Here is a 22,504-nt window from a genome sequence, read left to right on the forward strand (position 1 = left end):
TTATTTTACATTATGCTTATCATTTTTGATACAGAAAAATATTTGGATAAGACATGATAAATAAATACATAAATATCCTAAAAGTGAGATACAAAATATATATATATATATAACATGGCTTTACACTGTATGTAAGCAATTTCTAAATTAATACCTAAAAGGAATGATATCAAGATATCACTAAGGGAATCTCAATTATCTTCATTATTCTTTCCTATGTTTTTCAGATTATCTACAATAAGAAAGAATGGCTTTTATAACTTAAAAAATGTTGTTTTTTCCAAATAAAGCAGTCTATTCAAGATAACTGTATTGCTGCCTAGGGAGGAGGAAATAGTCTTTATCATTGCTAGCCACCATTAATGTGGATCTTTCTACTGGTGAGTTGGCTGTCTATACCTGCCTTACCCTCCAAAAGACCAGAGGCACAGGGCAGAAGGCCTGAAAGACCAGGAAATGTCCTCTTTTCAGACTTTGGGTATGGGATCCAGGGAGGAGGGGCTGGGAGTGGGAAATGAGAAGTTAGGGAGCAGAGGGATAGGGGACAGGGGCTAGAGAGAAGACAGTACAGACAGTAGAGCAGGACTACTGGATGCCTGCCTCACTTCTAGTGGTTTCCAGAGTCATTGCTCTAGGTCTTCTTAGGCCTCGCCACTGAGCTAGTTCCTGTGTTTTCTTAATCCATCACCTGAGACCATGTGAGTACGTCTTAGTCCCCTATGGCCCAACAGAGCCAAACCCAGGTGTCATCCCGCGATGCTGGTGGCCACAGCCCAGAAGAGGAAAGTCTTCATTTTATACTGCCAAGTAAGTCTAACTGTAACATGCCCATCTTATTTTTCAGTTTCTCTCTAACTTTATCCAGGAGTCTTGTGACAGCCTTCCTACCATATAACATGCCCAATCCCTTTTCTGGCATTTTAAGTAAGAAATTCTAAAGTAATCTTCAGTTCTTCCTCACCCATTACTTATATATACAATATATTATTATAAAGGAGACAACACAGAATATAGAAGGCAGATTTCTAAGGTCCCCTATTAGAGGTTTATAATTCTTTTATAAAATGTTATCTTTTCTCTTCCTCAACACAACAAACGAACCCCATTAAAGTCAAAACTGAAAACTCTGGCCAGGAGTCTGTTATATGTAAGATGCCTCCTTGTTGATGTTGCTATAGTCCTAATTAACAGTCGACAGGACATTTCAAGACTTCTCACTCTTATCACCAGTCCTGGAAAAGTTGTCTTTTTCTATAACTGAGGACATGGAATCCCATCTCTAGGGCCACACAGGATAAACCAAAGCCAACCTTGACCTTAAGGAAATTTGTAAGGACTGCAGGACTATTTTAGTGCCCCCACCCTTGCCATCTCTCATGGTCAAAGTACCAACAAGAAGAGGAAACACAATTTTGCAAATACTTTAGCGTATATTATTTGAGACCACATTCACAGTTAAAATAAGCTTTTATTTTACCTGTTGTCTTGGTTTTTGGGACTACAGTAAAAAAAAAAAAAAAAGTATGGACTTGGAGTAAAAGTGTCCCTATTACTTATTAGCTGCATAGCTTTGTAGCCTCTTTGTCTATAAAATGGAAATAATTATGTATATCTTTTGTGAGGACTGAATAATGTATCACTTATAAAAGTTCCAGGTGGTCTCCTGGTTCCATTTAATATTCCTACCTTGGTTTCTTTTTTCCATCTACTTCTCATTTATGTTTTCTTCTTGTATTTTATGGACCAGAGTGAGTCACTTTAAATTCTGGTAGAACAGGATGCCATATGAATATACAATATAAAAATAGTAGATATTCCTCTGGGGAGTAGGGGTGGGCACTGACTGGGAAGGGACATGAGGAAACTTTCTGGGTAATGATAATATCCTTCTAGGTGTCTGGGTTTTATAGGTGTATCCATTTGTCAAAACCAGGTCCATATACAGTTAAGATTTAACTACAATAAAATGCACACATCTTACTTCCAAAGAAAAAACCTATAAACAAATAATTACCTCTACTTAGCGATAAAACATGCTGAAATAGTGAGGGGGGAATGCATCGAAAATACTATGACAGATGACTAGATAGAGGGAAAGCAAAATCAGTAAAATACTGATGGCTGAAAACTGGTAGTGGGTATATGGTTGTTCATGGTAATAATCTTTCAATTTTGCAGTATGTTTGAAATTTTTCATAATAAAATGTTGGAAAAAAATTCCTACCAAAAAAAATGGAAGGTACTCAATACTTGTTAGTTCTCAGCCAGGCGCAATGGCTCATGCCTGTAATCCCAGCACTTTGGGAGGCTAAGGCAGAAGGATTGCTTGAGCCCAGGAATGTGAGACCAGCCTGGGCAACATCGCAAGACCCTGTCTCTACTGGAAGGAGGGAAGGAAGAGAGGAAGAAAACTTTAATGCCATGAGGGGGACACTGCAAAAATAAAAATAAAAATACTTGTTAGTTCCCTTCTCAAATCCTATCCCTATTGTTATTCATCTATTTGCTTATTCACCCATCAACACGTACTAGGCACACACTCTAGCATTGCCTGGTACAAGTTGCTTAACCCCAGCTCCTCTGCATCTCAGTTTCCTCATCTATGGAATAATAATTACAAGTGCCTCACAGGATTTTTGTGAGGATTCAGTGAGATAATAAACATGTAGCACTTAGCTCAGTGCCTGCCACACAGTTGGTGTTTGAGAAGTGCTAGCTGTTATTATGTCATTATAGCATACAATAAGGAGCATGGGCATCACAGCAGATTATTCCAGTATCAAGTAATGACTAGAAGCCCTGACTCCTGACTGCTTGGCTTCAAATGCCAACTCTACCACTTATTACCTTTGTAGCTTTGGGCAAAATTCTTAAGCTGTGTCTCAGTTTCCTCATCTGTAAAATAGGAATAATACATGTCACTCTCATAGGGTTATGACAAATGCAATTATATTGCTTATATTATTTTGCTATATATGCATATATGGCTTAGCCAGTAGCTGAAACAGTGTAAACACTCAATTGATGTTAGCGAATTCACTATGCTGGATACTCAGAGGACATAATGATGAATGCCTAAGTCCCTGACCCCTCAAGGAGTTGATAACGCAGGAGACAAGAAAGCAACGTCAACAGAGGGATCACAAAGCAGCCTATAATGAATGTGTGCTACAGGAAAGGTACTACAATGGGCAGGCGATACCCGAGGGAGACTGATAATAGTGAGGAAGACCAAAGAAGACTTCAAGGGGAGAGTGGCATTGATGAACTGGGACTTGAAGTCAGAAAAGGGGAAGAAAAAGCGTGTTAAAGGACATGGTATAGCCACCCTACTAGAGTTTAATAAAAGGTAGGTCAGGGTGGTTTGGAAGATTCATGCCTGGAAAGGTCAAAAGGATTTTGAAAAAATGATATATATATATTTTTTTTGACATGGAGTCTCGCACTGTCGCCCAGGCTGGAGTGCAGTGGCGCCATCTCGGCTCACTGCAAGCTCCGCCTCCTGGGTTCACGCCATTCTCTTGCCTCAGCCTCCTGAGTAGCTGGGACTACAGGCGCCCGCCACCATGCCCAGCTAATTTTTTGTATTTTTAGCAGAGACAGGGTTTCACCATGTTAACCAGAATGGTCTCGATCTCCTGACCTCGTGATCCACCTGCCTCAGCCTCCCAAAGTGCTGGGATTACAGGCGTGAGCTACCACGCCCGGCAAAGGATCAACTATTCTTACACTCCACCAGGTTCGTAGAGCTAAGTCTTACAAATTAATTATATCAACCAGTAACTTTTCCTTGATTTTTCTAAGAAATAAATACTACTCATCATTTATCCACTGCACTCTTTATATAGAGAAACAAAGAATTCATAACCATAACCATTTTACCAACAAGGACATATCTACTAAATAATACGTCCCAGAGCCTCTAGAGGAAGGGCCAGGGAAGAGGCTACTAACACTGTGGTAGAATCGAGTGAGTTAGTGCCACTCTAGTTGTTTCACTACTTTGAGGTTACAACTTGGAATCTGACTCAAGAATTTAAATTCAGGAAGGGAGAGGTGTCCATGCAGCAGAGAAGAGTTGGCTCCCTTTGGCCACTGCCAGCTGGCCATGCTGGGCCTCAGAGATTACTATGCCTTGGTAAACACATTTCTGATTTCTGTAGGCACTGAGCAAACTCACTAAGCCTTACCAAAGTGTTTTCAACATCACAGCCTGAAAGAAGTGGCTAGGACAGGGGCAGGTTTTGTGATTAAAGGCACCAAATGCTACTTCAAAATTATGTAAATTAAATATATAAAGTATTAATGAAAACATTTTTCAACACTGTTGGAAATTAAAATAGTAACAATTTATTTTTACATTTAACTTCAAGGGAAAAATAAAAAGCAAACTTATTTTGGTGTAAACCAAGCCTTTTTAGCAGAGGCACCTTTGAGTGAGGTAGGTGTGCTGGCTGATTTAGGCTCGGAGGAACAATCTCCTTGTCTGTGAGCTCCATGAGGACAGGGACCATGACTGTCTTGCTTACTGCTATGTTTTTAGGGTGTAATACAGTGCCTGGCATATAACTGTTGCTGAGAAATACCCACTGACAGAATAAGACTAGTCTCCAGCTTTGTAAATTGAGAATTTTTTTATATTCATTAAGAGACTATTCAGTTCTTAATTAGGTGAGGGTAGAACTGACTTAATACCAACTAAACTCGATGGAGACAAATTAGATTTTTTCCCCTCATTTTTAGAAGGGGTATAGCTTTCTAGGAGCCTCACTATTCCCGTAATTTACCCAGAGCTGTCCTATCTTAATATCAAAGCATCTAGGAAACAGAATCACTAATCAGGTTGCTGCATAAGGAACAAATTTAGAGCCCCTTCGGAGGTTTTCAACCTGTGTATCTAGCATGCCCAGCCTTGCAGCAATCAGAATGTCTGCCCCAGGCCAATATGGCATTTCCCTTCACGGACAGAGCCAGGTGTACTCAGAGTCCCACACTCCAACTCCTCCTAGACTCCATGCAGACTTCCCGTCTGCTGTCCCTTTGCACCATTCTTCATCTAAACATGTTATAAAACCCTTAGCTTTTGCCATTTTTAAAATAGATTTAGGTAGTGGTGAATCTGGACTTTTAGCGTCCACATCATCTAAATAGTGTACATTGTACCCAATAGGTAGTATTTCATCCCTCAGCCCCCTCCCACCTTTTGGAGCCTCCAATGCCTATTACTCCACTCTATATGTCCATCTGTACCCATTGTTTAGCTCCCACTTATAAGTGAGAACATGCATAAACCTCTAGCTTTTAAGATTTTTCTGTGTATAGTGCTTCAGGTTGGCTGCTTCCTAATGACAAAGGAAGGACCTTCAACTACAAATGCCTCCAGAAGATTGTGTGGTCACCTTCACATGGATGTGCACCAATTTTCAGGCCATCTTGGCCTCAGCAGCAAACACTGAGGCAACATCTTCAGAGAACTTAAGGCTACTAAGTGGTATCTTGGGACCTGTGATTCTCTATAAAGCTGGTTTGGAATTTCTTTTTTCCAGTAAGTGCAGTATCTTGCATTGACTAATTTTCTGCTATCATAGCCTCATAAAATGTTCATGAAAATCTCTCATCGTAGCTTTCCACTACTGTACCCTTTAAAAAGGTCTAGGAAATTAAACATATTGGAAAATGAGCCTATAGGCAGCACTGTGGACAGTCATCATTCATATTTTACCCACTTATAGAAGGGGATTTAACCCTAAGCTTTCTTTCATATTCTTAATCCAGTTTCTACTCAGGTCCAAATTCATTCTCTAACTCCACAATGACTCTTAAAAGTGAGATAGAAAATAAGATCTTGTCAGGATTTGTTTTCTTTTCTTTCTTTTTTTTTTTTTTTTTGAGACAGAGTCTCACTCTGTTGCCCAGGCTGCAGTGCAGTGGCGTGATCTCAGCTCACTGCAACCTCCGCCTGCCAGCTTCAAGCAATTCTCCTGCCTCAGCCTCCTTAGTAGCTGGGACTACAGGCACACGCCACCATGCCTGGCTAAGTTTTCGTATTTTTAGTAGAGACGGGGTTTCACCATGCTAGCCAGGCTGGTCTCGAACTCCTGACCTTGTGATCTGCCCACCTTGGCCTCCCAAAGTGCTGGGATTACAGGTGTTAGCCACCACGCCCAACCCTTTTTTTTTTTGAGACGGAGTTTTGCTCTTGTCAGCCAGGCTGGGGTACAGTGGCACAGCTCACTGCAACCTCCACCTCCCAGGTTCAAGTGATTCTCCTGTCTCAGCCACCTGAGTAGCTGGGTTTACAGGCACCCGCCACCATGCCCAGATAATTTTTGTATTTTTAGTAGAGATGAGGTTTCACCAAGTTGGCCAGGCTGGTCTCAAACTCCTGACCTCAGGTGATCCACCCGCCTCGGCCTCCCAAAGTGCTGGGATTACAGGAGTGAGCCACTGCACCTAGCCAAGATTTCTTTTAAAAAATCATTTTGAGCTAATTTTAGAGTTACAGAAAAGTTGCAAAAATCGTACAGAGTTTCCATATATCCTGGCCCCAGCTTCCCCAGTGTTAGCATCTTACATAACCATTGTATATTTACCAGAACCAGAACTTTAATATTAATACTATTAACTAAACCAAAGACCTTATTCAAGTCGTACCGGTTTTTTCTACCGATGTCCCTTTACTGTTCCAGAATCCTATTCAGAATCCCCGCTGTATTTAGTTGTTATTTATCCTTAGTCTCCTGCAGCCTGTGACAGTTCCTTGTTCTTTCCTTATCATTCACGTTCTTGACAACTTTTAAGAGTATTAAACAGTTATTTTGTTGACTGTCCCTTGATTCGGGTTTGCCTGATGTTTTCTCATGATTACTCTGAGGTTATGCATTCTTGGCAAAAATACCACAGAAATGATGTTGTGTTCTTAATACATCATATCATGGGGCTCATGATGTTGATATGTCTTATTGCTGGTGGTGTTGGTCTTGACCTCTTGGTTAAGGTGGTTTCTGCTGGGTTTTTCCACTACCAATTTATGACCTCTTTCTTTATAGTTAATTAACACGTTGAGGTAGTTTGAGATGATGCAAATTCTTTCAAAGCTTTCCTGAAGGACTACTGGCTCCCTCATTCACAAACCTGCTCACTCTGCTTAAAATTTCCAAGAGATTAGTTGATATGATTTCCCCTAACTATTTCTGCCACACAAGCAACTCTGATTACTTTTGTTTGTTCAGTGAATTTTACTTTTCTTCTGCTTATTAAAAAAAAACCACATTTTCATTGTTTAAAAAAATATAATTGTGGAGCTCTCATAACCCCACCTTCAGAGATTAGCACTATAGATAATTTGATGTATATTCCATATGAACCTTTTTTCCTCTTTTAATACCAATGGAGTCAGATACCATGAGCTTAAATCACAGTTCCACCATGGACTTTGGGCAAGTTGCCTAATTTTGTGTGCAGGTAATTCTTTCTTTTTGGGAGGCCAAAGACTTCTTTGTAAATCTGATCTATAGACTCTCATTCTCAGAAAATGCACAATATATTGTACACACGACATTTTGCATACAACTATAGGGACTCACAGACTAGGTTAAGAACCCCTATTCTATTTATCACCTTTGATCCACAATTCTGTTTCTGGTAATCTAGCCTATAAAATACTTGCACATACAAACATGTACCAAAAACATTTCATGTAGTGCTAGTAAAAAATTGGGAATAATTTAAACATCCACCAACAGGGAACTGGCTAAATTATGATGACTCCACACTATGGAATACCCTACAAAGAATGAAGTAGATACATGTGAATGGACATAGAAAGACTCCCATGATATACTATTAAATGAAAACATTTCAGGACTTTGCATGACTCCATTTTTGGTAAGATGAAGGGAGAGAGGGATGGAGAGGGAGGGAGAAAGAAGAGAAAAAGAAAAGAATTAGGGAGGGCATGAAACCTATATATATGTAAATGCATAGAAAAAAATCTGGAAAGTTTCACAATAAACCCAACATCAATGACTCTGGGAGAATAGGATTATCGGGTGAATTTTATTATTTATTTAGTCTGTAACTATTATATTATTTGAACTTTTTACAAAGAGTACAACTTTAAAAACCCCAATAAGATTTTTAAAACCCTCTTCATAGGCAACAACTCTGAATGAATATAGATTTTAAAATGTTTAATGACTGGCAGAAATAATTTAATGATAAAAGAATAACCAAACTGATAAGAATTTTGCCCAGAATGGAATGATAGTTCAAGATACACATGACACAAAATCAAAGAGTTAAATGAGAAAAACCTAATGAAACTCTCCATGGATACAATAATGTAATTTGCTAATACTCATTTCTAATAAAAATACTAAGAACAAAAGGCATATAGGTAAAGAAAGATGATATAAAACATCTCTCTAAGCCAAATGTGAAAAAAAAAAAAGGCAATAAAAGACAGGCCACTTTTACCATCTTAAATAGTTTTGAAGTTCTGGCCAATGCAGCAAGACAGCTGAAATAAGGTAGGCATATATATTGCATAGGAAGTTAAATATGTTATCTACAGATGAGATGATTGGACAACTACAAGAGCAAAAATAGAAATTTTTGGAAGAGCTTTTTGTAAGGTAGAAATAAAACTTTTACAAACTGTTTTTAAGAGACATCACTTGAACAATGCCATGGGGTAGATGAGGTCACATAGTGGACACTTGAACTCCAGATGTCACTTCTGGACCAAGGTTAAAATTGTTCTTTGTTGAACTCCTTAAAAACTTGAGGGAATACAACCCAATTCCCAAGATTTGCCTACTTCTAGTTCATCAAGTAAGGCTCCAACAGCCTGAAATCTATCACTATTTGTGTGGTCCAAATGACAATGAGGAAGAGGTTATCTCTCGCACCATTTTTCCCTAGAACAGTAACAACAATGGCAACACAAGCAACTAACAATGGTGGAACACACACTGGACACCTTTCTTTCTAAGCACTACAAGTGGTAGTTCATTTAACCTTCACAACAACCCTTGGTAGTAGATTCTAATTTTGCCTCCAGTTTACAGATGAGAAAATTGAGGCACAAAAGAAGCTAATAACTTGCCCAAGGTTACTCAGCTAGTAGCTGGTAGAGCCAGGAGTTAAACTCAGGCAGTCTGGTTCCGGGCCCATGCTCTTAGCACTACACAATCCTGTTGCCTAAGAATGCACAGGCAAATTGTCATCTACAGGAAAGATACAATCTATGAATTAGAGTTCTGGAGGAAACTGAATTGAACAAAAGATTCAAATGACAGAAGGAAACTACTTTCAGCATGGAAAGACCTGAAAGAAGAAACAAGAAGGCACTCCCAGGGTCTCACACATCATTAGCAAAGAGGATCCCTGGGACATGACCTGGAAACATCTGAAAACAATGTGAGAAGGAAGAGAGAAAAAAAACTCCAAGTAAACAAGTTAACAAATAGATTACATGAAGGGGAATCTAGTAGAGTTATTTTTTATTTTTTTAAATAACAGAAGTCTAGAAATGAGACAATCTAAGATATAAAACCTCAAAGAAGCTCAGCAAATCAGAATACCTCAAGCTGTCATCTGTAAACAAACAAAAATGATGCCACCCCCAGACCAAGTGGCCTCATCATTCATCTACCAAACTGTTTCCTAGAGTGGTAGTCAAACTGCATTTCCTTGCCTCCTGACTCCAGAGGGAGCTGACTTAGGTTGTGTGGGAACTGAGCATGCTGGCATTGCTGGCCACTGCCCCTGAAGGAAAACACCTCTTCCACACCACTTTTCTGTATCTCCTCTACTTCTTTCTCTAGCATGGATGTGGCATTTGGGCCTGTTGTGAAGACTAAGCCAGCCATCTGAAAAAGCTCTAGCCACCCCATGCTGGACATGTATTACAGTGCTCAATATGTTCAATTTCCTGAACATAAAGACTGATCTTTGCCAACAGCCAATCCTAAGGCCTTTTAATTTCTGTACATGCTGTACTTGAGGGATTTTATCTCTCTTCTTATGGCTTTGATATCCTCCTTGGTACAAGTGAGTCTCACACCTTTATCTCCAGCCCCAACATCTCATCTGAGTTTCTGATCAATATTTCCAACTGCTCCTAGATATGTTTTCCTAGACATTCAACAAGTCCTAAAATAAACTTTCCCCTGCTTCTCTGCAAATTAGTCTCTGCACCCAATCCACACCCTTTATGCCACTCCCCAAGTTGGTCAGTAGTTCCACCATCTATCACCACCTTCCCTAAAACTAACAAACAAAAACTCCTCTGAGGCATGCCCTAATTCCCAATCTCCACCATGGCAGGCATTGGTAATTTTAGATTCTGCCCCGAAATTCCTCATATCTCCTCTTCTCCATCATCACTGCTATCTCCTTGCTCAAGTTGTTCTCACCTCTTATCTGGACAACTGCCACAGCTGCTTAACTGATTTCCCTCCCTGCAGGCTGTGCTTCACATGACAGCAAGAATTATCTTCCTAAAAAATGAACTAGAACATGGCACTCCCTTGCTTTAAACCCTCTGGTACAGACCACAGGATACAAACTGAAACTTGTCGCCCAACATTCAAGGTGCTTCAGAATCTGGCCCCAACATCCCTTGTCCAGCCTCATCTCCATCATCTCCAGCCACTATCCCAAGAACAGGGTGATGTACCTGTGCACCTTCAGACTTTTGCCCTCTCACTTTATCCTCTTTCTCACAAAGCCCTGCTGGTACATACAGTAACATTTAGCTCCCAGGGTGCCTGCACTGACTCACCAAACACCACTCCCTCTCTCTTTCTCTCTCTCTCTGTATCCAGTACACCTGACACATCACATCTTTTGCCATTGTTGGCTGATTTGCACATCATGCCACCTCATCAACCTTGAAGGCAGGGACAGAATTGCCTTTACTTTTGTATCTCCTGCACCCAGCTCAGGATCTGTTGGCTCAGAGTGAGACCTCAGTGGTTGTTAACTAACTGAATCAAAAAATAGCAAAATACTTATGAGTACCAGGCTGAGGCTCAGAAGAATTAAGACACTTCACAGAACAAACATTAAGGGGTGAAAAAAAAATTGGAGAGATAGGGTAGATAAGGAATAGGAAGAGAAGATGCCAAAAAAGGGGCAAATTAAATTTCCTTATATGGAAGAAAAGGCAAGTTCTTGCTTTTGCTTTGATTTTAGTAAATAAATTCAGAAAAATATGTTTAGCACTAAGAGATTTGAAAGATTGTTCACCTTTAAAATTTGTTTAAAAGCTAAAGAAAGCAAAGAATGTTCTGTAATACAGAAGACATAATGGAGAAGAAACAACAAATACAAAAACAAAGAAACATACAATATACAGAAAACATAATACAATAGCAATAATAAATTAAAGAGTATAAATTCCCATATAAGATATAGAACCTTCAAAGATAAGTTAAACAGACAAAATCCGACAACATTCTGTTTGCAAGATAGGCTATGAAATAATGATAATGAAGTTGGAAAATGTAACAAAATCATTACATAAGAAATTATAGACCACGAAAAAAGAATAGAGAGCAGTATTGCTTTCTGTGCTACCGAAAAATAAAAATAAAAACTAAATACACAACTAATAATCTTGAGAAACAAACAGAAGCATTAGAGGAATTTTTTTTTTTTTTTTTGAGATGGAGTCTCGCTCTGTTGCCCAGGCTGCAGTGCAGTGGCGTGATCTCGGCTCACTGCAACCTCTGCCTCCCGGGTTCAAGCAATTCTCCTGCCTCAGCCTCCAGAGTAGCTGGGACTACACGTGTATGCCACCATGCCCGGCTAATTTTTGTTTTGTATTTTACTAGAGACGGGGTTTCACCATGTTGCTGAGGCTGGTCACGAACTCCTGAGCTCAGGCAATCTGCCTGTCTCAGCCTCCCAAAGTTCTAGGATTACAGGCATGAGCCACCACTCCCGGCTGAGGATTTTTTTTTAAAAAAGAAATAAATTAGATATTTTGAAATTGAAAACCAAAAAACTTTTGAAGGATTCATAAGAAACTGACAGGAGCTGCTGCCTAAGAGAGGGGAGCTATTTGGCCAAGGAATAACAATGAATGGGAAACTGACTTTTCACTACATCCTTTTGTATTTTTTAAAGTTTTATATTTCAACTAAAAGTTGCTGTGAATAGACTAAAATTGATACTACTGGCAAGTGCAAAAAAAGGAAACATAAAATTGGAAAAACAGGACACAAAAAGAAGCAATAAAATTGTAAGAGAATATGTGTGTTAATAAATTTGGATAAAACTAAATAGATGAGTTTTTAATCAAAAATGTAAAATTCTAACACTGGCAAAAATAAAATACCTAACCAGACCAACATCTTTTAAAAATCAAATAACTAGGCCAGGCGCGGTGGCTCACACCAGTAATCCTAGCACTTTGGGAGGCCGAGACGGGCAGATTGCCTGAGCTCAGGAGTTCGTGACCAGCCTCGGCAACATGGTGAAACCCCATCTCCACTAAAATACAAAAAAAAAATTATGAGGCATTTTGGGGCAGAAATCCCAGCACTGTGGGAGGCCGAGGCGGGTGGATCACGAGGTCAGGAGTTCAAGACCAGCCTGACCAACATGGAGAAACCCCGTCTCTACCAAAAATACAAAAAAAAAAAAAAAAAAAAAAAGTTAGCCGGGCATGGTGGCACATGCCTGTAATCTCAGCTACTTGGGAGGCTGAGATGGGAGAATCACTTGAACCCAGGAGGCAGTGGCTGCAGTGAGCCAAGATCACGCCACTGCACTCCAGCCTGGGCAACAAGAGTGAAACTCCATCTCAAAAAAAAAAAAAAAAAAATCAAATAATTATACCCCTAAAAAGTAGTCAATTCTTTCAGTCTCCAGGAACAAATGATTCATGTTATAGAAATCATGCCAAAAATGGATCAAGATATAGGTTATCTAATTATTCTACTAATCTGACCCTAAAACTGGCTAAAAGAAACGGAAAGAGAGAAAACTATACACAAAGCACACAAAGCTCACTCCGAACTTACGCTCAAAAATTTAAAAGAATAGTAAATAGAACCTAGAAACAGATTTTTAAAATTTTTATTTGTGTCAACAGAAATAAAAACATTCATTTGTTAAAATCTAACACCTATTCTTAATTTTAAAATTCTAAAACTAATAATAAAGGTATATTTTCTTACCCTGATTGAGTACCTATTTATTGAACCAAATGTCAATTATACTTCAAGGGAAAAAACAAACTATGCAGTCATTAAAAATAAGCGCAAAATAAGCATTTTATCATCACTATTAACACAGTATCAGAAGTTCCTTCCAACAAAAAGCAACATAAAAATGAAGGAGAGACACAAATACAATAAAGGCAGATGTTATATATACTTTTTAAAAAATATAACACCATTGTAAACTTATAAAACCCAAAGGAATCACTGAAGTCATTACGATAAATTTTTTTTTTTTTTTTTTGAAACGGAGTTTCGCTTTTGTTGGCCAGGCTGGAGTGCAATGATACAATCTTGGCTCACCGCAACCCCCGCCACCCGGGTTCAAGCAATTCTCCTGCCTCAGCCTCCCGAACAGCTGGGATTACAGGCACCCACCACCACGCCCAGCTAATTTTGTATTTTTAGTAGAGATAGGGTTTCTCCATGTTGGTCAGGCTGGTCTCAAACTCCCGACCTCAGATAATCCTCCTACCTCGGCCTCCCAAAGTGCTGGGATGACAGGCGTGAGCCACCGCGCCCGGCCGTTACGATAAATTTAAAGTGACCACAGTCATGATCAGTACAGAAAAACTTATAGTATTCCTGGTCCTCAAGCTTGAGTGCACATGAAATTCATTGTGCAGCTTTTTAAATGTTGATGTCCACACCTCCCCCAAGACAAATTGTCTCAGAGTCTCTGAGGGTGAGACCAGGGATTAGAATTTTATAAAGCTTCTGAGGTGATTTTAATGTGTAGCCAAGTAGAGATGCCCACTACTATATACTTAATTACCTAAATATCTTTAAAAATACAAAGTAAAAAAGTATTACTATTAACCGTTCATAATATTCACAAATGGGTAGAGAAAGACTGCCATAAGGAACAAATGTTCAAAAGAAGAAACCTGAGAAAAGACATAGCTCCTGTACAAATGTCTCTAGTCCACTGCAGTTTAGGCAAAAAGGTGGGCAGTTAATACCAGAACCAGTGGAGGGGGACAAGACCCATGGCCACAACAGAACAATGGTAGCAATAGATAATTATTCTCTTTCCAAGTGTTACTGAGGTAGGAGGCATGTGTGAGGATTTCATAGAGGCCGAGGTACTCTAGGATTACCTGCATACCTGTATGAGGTCATATGTAAGATAAATTTCTAGAAATGCTGTATTAATTGCTGAGTCAGATGGTATGTGCCTCTAAAAGTGAAAGATTAATTTTAAAAGACTTTAAAGGTGAAAGAGAAAAAGCATGACGTGTAGAATAAACATCATACTTCATAGGTAGAAGCAGAGTGGCAGAAATGAGGTAAGCTGGAGTTAGTCAAGATGGCTCAGTGTCACCAGGTAGTAGGTACAGAGACTGACATATAAGAAAACTCTCAGTGATTCCAGTTCGCCTTTGACCTTCCCATTAACCTTCCCCCACTGCAACCTCCAGTCATATGCAATGTCCCCATCCTACCAGTTATCTAACTCCACAGGCATTGCTAGGGCCCACCTGTTCCCTCTATCCTGACCATAATATTCTTCTTTCAGGTCACCTCTCACCTGAACCACTGTAACTCTTTTTGTTAATCTCCCAATCTTTCTTTTTTTTTTTTTTTTTAGATGGAGTCTTGTTCTGTCGCCCAGGCTGGAGTGCAGTGGTGCGATCTCGGCTCACTGCAAGCTCCGCCCCCCAGGTTCACGCCATTCTCCTGCCTCAGCCTCCCGAGTAGTTGGGACTACAGGCGCGCGCCACTGCGCCCAGCTAATTTTTTGTATTTTTAGTAGAGACAGGGTTTCACCGTGTTAGCCAGGATGGTCTCGATCTCCTGACGTCGTGATCTGCCTGCCTCGGCCTCCCAAAGTGCTAGGATTACAGGCGTGAGCCACCGTGCCCGGCCTTTTTTTTTTTTTTTTTTTTTTTTTTAAGATGGAATCTCACTCTGTTGTCCAGACTGGAGTGCCGTCTCGGCTCACTGCAACCTCCGCCTCCCGGGTTCAAGTAATTCTCGCACCTCAGCCTCCCAAGTAGCTGGGATTACAGGCGCCTGCCACCATGCCTGATAATTTTTTTTGGATTTTTAGTACAGATGGGGTTTCACCATATTGGCCAGGCTGGTCTTGAACTCCTGACCTCAAGAGATCCACCTGCCTTGGCCTCCCAGAGTGCTGGGATTACAGGCGTGAGCCACCGGCACCTGGCCTAACCCTCCCAATTTATTACCATCCAAAGCTTTCCTAGACATTAGTTTAATATTTTATGTCTTTTTTTTAGTGTAAATATCTAATCTGCCATTTATATTCCTAAAGTGGCTATAAATTACCTTCTAGATCAAAGAGCTATGTTTGACAATGATTTTTAAGCCCCGCTGTTTAGCAGGCTTTTAACATACAGTTTAAGATACTTCCTCCACAACATTTTCCCTGTTAATCATTTTCAATCCAATCACATGATCTCCAAATCTACTTAATCCTCCTAACGTAAGCATTCTTCATTCATTCACCCAACAAATACTTACTGAGCATCTATTGTCCAGCACTGGTTTAGATCCTGGGGATAAAGTTCTTGCCCTCAATGAGGATTTCAGGCAGGGAAGGTACTGGGTGTGAAGGGAAGGCAGGGAGACAGCCAATCAAATTTATCTACAGTGGCTGGATGGTGATAAATGCTATAGAAAAAATAGAGAAGGATAGAGTGATTCCAGGGTATGGTAAGGTATCATTTTCAATTGAGGGTACCATACAAGGCATCTTTGAAAGTTTAACTTTGGAGCAGAAACCTGAAGAAGGAGGGCAGTAGCCATTTGGCTATCTGGGAGAAGATGATTCCAGGCAGAGGGAACAAGAACAATGGCTCCAAAGCAGGAATATTTCTGGGCAGACTGAAGCATGGCCAGCAGACCAGTGTGATGAAGCAGTCAGTATGAGAGTGAGCACTAGGAGATGTGTACGTAAGAAACTTGTCTTATGACATTTTTGGTTTAGAGGATTGATATATAAAGCCACTAAACAGTTTTACTCAATTTTAAGACTCAAAGTTAAATAATGATCAAGGTAGACTACCCAAGATTACGCCTGCAGCAATCCATTACTGAAGCATAGGGAAGGTGCCCACCACAAGACAGAAAGTTCCAGAAGTTACATTTGTGGGAAAATTCCCACGGGCTGGTGGTCCCCAGGCTTGTGAAGGAGGAGAGAGAGATGTTGCCATGGAGTTGCCTAAAGAAGTTGTACAGAACTTCCAGCATCACACATCATCAATGACTCTGCCTCCATTTCTTTCTCTCCTTCTAAAAATTTCTATTCAGCTTACTGGACAAAGTTTCTTAATAATGGAAAATAATGTAAAAGACATGCTTTATTTAAACAGCTTACTAAGGCATATCTATTTCATCAAATGAAGGCTCTATTTACAATGATTGTTTGCTAGTGTGCTTTGCTTTCCGTATTAAGTTTAGCATTAAAAAAAGTTTTCCCAATTTAAATTTTAATATGTTTTGTAACTGCTTTTTAATAGTCTACTGTGAATATATGTCCATCATTAAATACACTAGATCATTTTTTAAAAGGTTTCCTATTCCACAGATCCCAGAGATAAGTGTAGTGTCACATATATTGTAACCTGAGAATATGGCTTGAATAATTGGTATTCAAATTAGTTTTCTAGTTTTTCAAGTCAATCAAGTGTATGTTCTGCACTCAAACTAAAAGCTGACACTTTGACTCACCCTGCACATCATAGAGAGACACAACACAGGATACTCTTATGATCTCAATGGTCAACCTATAACAGATTCCTATCAGATGATCAAAGAAATCATCGAAGTTGTAGATTCAATGCAGATTTTTAGATTAATCCAAAAAAGAATCATTTGATCAAAGACTTCAGCAATAAAAAACAAGGGAGGAGAAAATAATGTTTAATAGCAATGCGAAGACTAAATATAAAGACTTCTGCATTACAAAGTTGTGGTAATTAATGTAGCAAGAAACTTGTGAAAACTCAGAAGCATGCTATTTACCCAAGAAACATACTTTTTCCTTACTTCATTGTTTTTTTCCAGTTTCCCTCTTCACTTTATGCAGTCCCACAAGCATCTCTAAAAGGTCACATGTTGCTTCTGCAGTTGCATTTCAGTCCTATAAAAGAAGCAGCACATCATCACTTTATGAGAAAACATTTTAGGAGGCTGAGTTATCCAATCTCATCAGTCTCCCTTCCTAATTCATTCGCACTAGAACTATACATAAACAGAAAAACCAGTGAGACAAAGGTGAAAAAGAGGTTATCAAAATACAAACTAGCAATTTGAAACTATTAAAATTCCTAGTAGAAATAAAGCAAACTCAATGGTCTCTGATAACAGATCAGAACAAAATCTGTAATTTTAACGCTCTTTCCACCAATGAGTTTCCATGTCTCTCTCCCAGCTAAGTTTGAGACAGCTTGGCAGAAATAATACTAACAGATGTGTTGCTTTGTAACTTCAAGGATGTGCTATTTTCTGATGTTCTTCCATTCGGGTTTTCCTGGTGTGGATTCTAGAGGCACAAAAATGGCTCAGACTGTGAGTTCCAGGCCAAGGAACTGTTTTCATCTCTGTCTCTGACCATTATTACCCCTATTTCATCATGGCACTTTCGGTAAATGAATGAGACAGTAACTATGTTTTCAACAGACAACCAGAGATGCTTCATGGGATCTTAAAATTACTTGGGAAACAGCTGTAAAACCACTACTTTTGAGTTCTTATTTCTTTCTTGAAGAATTATCTTTGATTGAGATGCCCATTAGCAGTAAAATGGTCCCAAAGCGAGTATACCAGAAGGTCTCAGAACTTCCAACAGACGTGTAGGCATTGTACACTAGACTCTAGTGTATCATGACTAGAGCATCATGACTACGAGCATCCATGAATGTACACATTTTTTTTGCCCCTCAAAAAAAAAAAAATCCCTCACCCAAGTGGCTTAACTTCTTAACACCAGCATCTTATGTCTTTAACATACACATATCTAGCTTTACACTGCATCAGGGATTGTTCTAAGATCTTTAAATACATTAATCCAATCCTTACAATGATGCTATGAGGTTGATTCTATATTCTAATCACCCAGATAAGGAAACTTGTTAGGTAAATTACCTAAAGAAAAGCATTATGTTAAGGCCGGGTACGGTGGCTCACGCCTGTAATCCCAGCACTTTGGGAGGCCGAGACGGGCGGATCACGAAGTCAAGAGTTTGATACAGCCTGACCAACATGGTGAAACCCCGTCTCTACTAAAAATGGCCGGGCATGGTGGTGTGCGCCTGTAATCCCAGCTACTCAGGGGGCTGAGGCAGAAGACTTGAACCCAGGAAGCAGCAGTTGCAGTGAGCCGAGATCGCACCACTGCACTCCAGCCTGGGCAACAGAGCGAAACTCCGTCCAAAAAAAAAAAAAAAAAAAGGCCGGGCACGGTGGCTCACACCTGTAATCCCAGCACTTTGGGAGGCCGAGGTGGGCAAATCACGAGGTCAGGAGAGCGAGACCATCCTGGCTAACACGGTGAAACCCTGTCTCTACTAAAAATACAAAAAAATTAGCTGTGTGTGGTGGCAGGCACCTGTAGTCCCAGCTACTCGGGAGGCTGAGGCAGGAGAATAGCGTGAACCCGGGAGGTGGAGCTTACAGTGAGCCAAGATCACACCACTGTACTCCAGCCTGGTTGACAGAGTGAGACTCCGTCTCAGAAAAAAAAAAAAAAAGTATTATGCACTATGCTGCTGTTCATAGTCAGGGGTACCTGGGCAAATATAACTGTGCAGTAAGCTACAGTCTCATCCATCTATTTCACTTTTTCTGCTTCTGTCCTGGTATGCCTAAAGTAGCTCAATGTCTACTGAATTAGCTCTTGAAAATTTCTCCTTATTAATAATTTACTGAGAAACAACTTCTAATTCTCCCTACCTTAAACCTCATCTTTGCTTATTTTTTGAAAATTATCCTTTGGGAGGCTGAGAAAAAGGATTGCTTGAGGCCAGGAGTTCAAGACCAACCTGGGCACCAGGGTGAGACCACAGTCTCTACAAAAGTATTTTTGTTTTTTGTTTTTGAGAGAGAGTCTCACTCTGTCCCCAGGCTGGAGTGCAGCGGCACTATCTCGGCTCACTGCAACCTCCGCCTCCCAAGTCCAAGCATTTCTCCTGCCTCAGCCTCCTGAGTAGCTGGGACTACAGGCACGCGCCACCACACCCAGCTAATTTTTGTATTTTTAGTAGAGACGGGGTTTCACCATGTTGGCCAGATGGTCTCGATCTCTTGACCTCGTGATCCACCCACCTCAGCCTCCCAAAGTGCTGGGATTACAGGCGTGAGCCACCATGCCCAGCCTACAAAAGTTTTTTTTAGAAAAATAGCCAGCATGATAGATATTTTCCTATGCTTGCCAGATCCCTTCTAACTTTAAAATTGCAACACCCTTACTCAACCAAGGCATTAGAGTTCAGTTGATTGGTTGATTCAGATGATGCCAAAAGCTATGGGTTCAATCCACTATAAACCAGTTAGCTTTGTTTGCTTCACATCTACAGATTTTTAGTCTGGATGGCATATTTTGGATCATAAGAGGAAGCAGGTAGGAGTGTGGAAGACAACATTTGCTGGAGAAAAAAGTCTCCAAAAACAGCACTGACTGTGGGCCAGAAGCAACAGCCTCATTCATAAAAAAAAAGCTTCATAATAATTGGCAAAACACTTCTAGCTTTCTGAGTAAGACGCTCTTCTCAGATCATTTGCCAGAATATAGCCTCAAGCTCCTCCTTCGAAAAACAAAACAGATGAGATACAAATAAAAAATTAATGTTTTTCGTTTTTGCACAGGCTCTGCTTGACTGATCTGAATACAATTTTCTTATTCCTGACACCAAGGTCACTGACAATAAAAAAAAAATTGAAATGATTTTAGAAAGTATTACAAAAATCTCTAGGAGTGTAGCTTACAAAATCACCAGAAAAACTTGACTGCAATTCCATAAGTATGTCTTAGATTCTTTTACAATTCCTTTAAATTTTCATAAAACCAAAAAATTATTCCATCTCCAAATAGTTATTTTAAACAAGCTTTTTCAAATTAAATGAAGGAAACAATATCAGACCAATGTGGTCTGATAAATTTTAAAACAACCCAGACCCACTCAAGGTAGAAGCTTTACCAGTTTCAACAAATAAAAATGAAAAAGTAAAACTATATTCTTTAATTGTTAGTTTAGGGAGAAACCTCCTTGGGATCATCTGTTTTCATGTTTTCCTGTCCAGAGCTGGAAAGAACTTCCCAATGTACAAAGCACATGGGTTCCAACAGTCACAAGGTAACTATGACAGCAAAGCCACAGTTATCTGTGAGATCACAGAAATTATATGATGTAATTTTAAAAATTGAAAATTCATATAACATTAACCATTTTTAAATGTACAATTCAGTGGCATTTAGCACATTCACAGTATCATGCAACCATCACATTTACCATTACCTTACATTACTGATGAAATATTTTCATCACCCCAAAATGAACCTTGTACTCATTAAGCAGTCACTTCTATTCCTCCTCCTCCTCCTCCTCCAACTCCTGACAACCACTAATATGCTTTATGTCTCCATAAAATTACCTCTTGTGGATATTCCCTAAAAATGCAATCAAACAATATGTGACCTTTTCGGTTGGCTTTCTTTCACTCTGCATAATGTTTCAAAGTTCATCTACATTGCAGCATGCATCAGTACTTCATTCCAATTTATGGCTGAAAAATATTCCACTGTATATAGATGCACATCTTGCTCATCCATTCATTCATTGATAGACATTTGGGTTGTTTCCATCTTTTGGCTATTGTGAATAGTGTTGCCATGAACATGAGTGTACAAGTATTTGTCTGATACTTGTTTTCAATTACTGGACATATAAACAGGAGTGGAATTGCTGGGTCATATGGTAATTCTATACGGAACTTTTTGAGGAACTACTACACTGTTTCCCACAGTGGCTTCAACATTTTACATTCCCACCAGCAAAGTACAAGGTTCTAATTTCTCCACATTCTCATCAATGCTTGTAATTTTGTTTTTGTTTTGTTTTTAAAGTATAGACATCTTAGTAGGTGTGAAATGGTATATCATTGTGGCTTTGATTTGCATTTCCTTAATGACCAATGACCCAGGAAATCTTTTCATATGTTTCTTGGCCATTTGCATATCTTTACAAAATGTCTATTCAAGTCCCTTGCCCATATTTTAATTGGGTTATCTTTTCTGTTGTTCAGTTGTTAAGAGTTTTTCGTTTTGTTTTGTTTGTTTTTTAACAGATTTGCAGATATCTCCTCCCATTCTGCAGGTTGCCTTTCCACTTACTTGATAGCATCCTTTGCTGCAAAATTTTAACATTTGATGCCATCCAATTTGTCTATTTTTTCTTTCGTTGCTTGTGCTTTTGGTGTGTTTCTAAGAATCCATTACCAAATCCAAGGTCATGAAGATTTACCCTTATGTTTTCTTCTAAGAGTTTATAGTCTTAACTCTTATAATTAGTTATTTGGTCCATTTTGAGTTAATTTTAATATGTGTGGGGTCCAACTTCATTCTTTTGCATGTAGATAACCAGTTGTACCTGCACCATTTGTTAAAGAGATTGTCCTTTCCCCAGTGAATCATCTTGGCACTGTTCTCAAAGGTCACAGATGTACAGGTTTATTTCTGGACTCTCAGTTTTATTCCACTGATCTATATGTCTATTCTTATGCTTATACCTATTTTGATTATTGTAGCTTTGTAGTATCTTTTGAAATTGGGAAGCATGAATACTCCAACTTTGTTTTTCTTTTTCAAGATTGTTTTGACTATTCAGGGTCCCTTGCAATTCTATATGAATTTTAGGATCAGCTTTCCTATTTCTGCAAAAATAGGTACTGGAATTTTGGTCAAGATTGCACTGAATCTTTACATCACTTTGAGTAGTATTGCCATCTTTAAGTATTCTAATCCATGGATGTCTTTCCATTCTATGATGTAATTTTAAGGTTATTTTAAAATGTCCTTGATAAGGTGATACACTAACTTCTTTAGCTGTCTGTATCGCTATGGTAATTTACTAATATCCTGGAGTATGTCACAAATATGAAGTTTATACTTGCCATTGGTAATCCAAAATTCATACTCCAGAGAATGAAGGTAAATTATGTAACGTCTGTTTTGTTTGCTTTGGGCTATGGAAAAGGTCAGAACTTAAGGATTTTCATTTTCCTGATTTATAATTAAGTTTCATTAT

At 39.3% G+C, this 22,504-nt stretch overlaps 1 protein-coding gene across 24 annotated transcripts in view; it reads right to left on the reverse strand.

The window, feature by feature from the left end:
* Nucleotides 1–22,504, reverse strand: part of ZHX3 (zinc fingers and homeoboxes 3) — a 139,277-nt gene that overhangs the window by 73,286 nt on the left and 43,487 nt on the right. For 9 of the 24 annotated variants that reach the window (NM_001384317.1, NM_001384325.1, NM_001384320.1 and 6 more), the window contains exon 2: nt 17,250–17,343. The exons of 1 other annotated variant lie outside the window; for it this stretch is intronic. The gene's annotated coding sequence lies outside the window, so the exon portion shown is untranslated. Of the gene's footprint in view, nt 1–2,847; nt 2,896–15,722; nt 15,873–17,238; nt 17,344–20,463; nt 20,517–22,504 lie in introns of those variants that run through there. 14 more of the 24 variants (NM_001384316.1, NM_001384318.1, NM_001384321.1 and 11 more) reach the window with 7 other exon arrangements.

Source organism: Homo sapiens, chromosome 20 (assembly GCF_000001405.40).
Source record: "Homo sapiens chromosome 20, GRCh38.p14 Primary Assembly".
NCBI classification, from domain to species: Eukaryota; Metazoa; Chordata; class Mammalia; order Primates; family Hominidae; genus Homo; species Homo sapiens.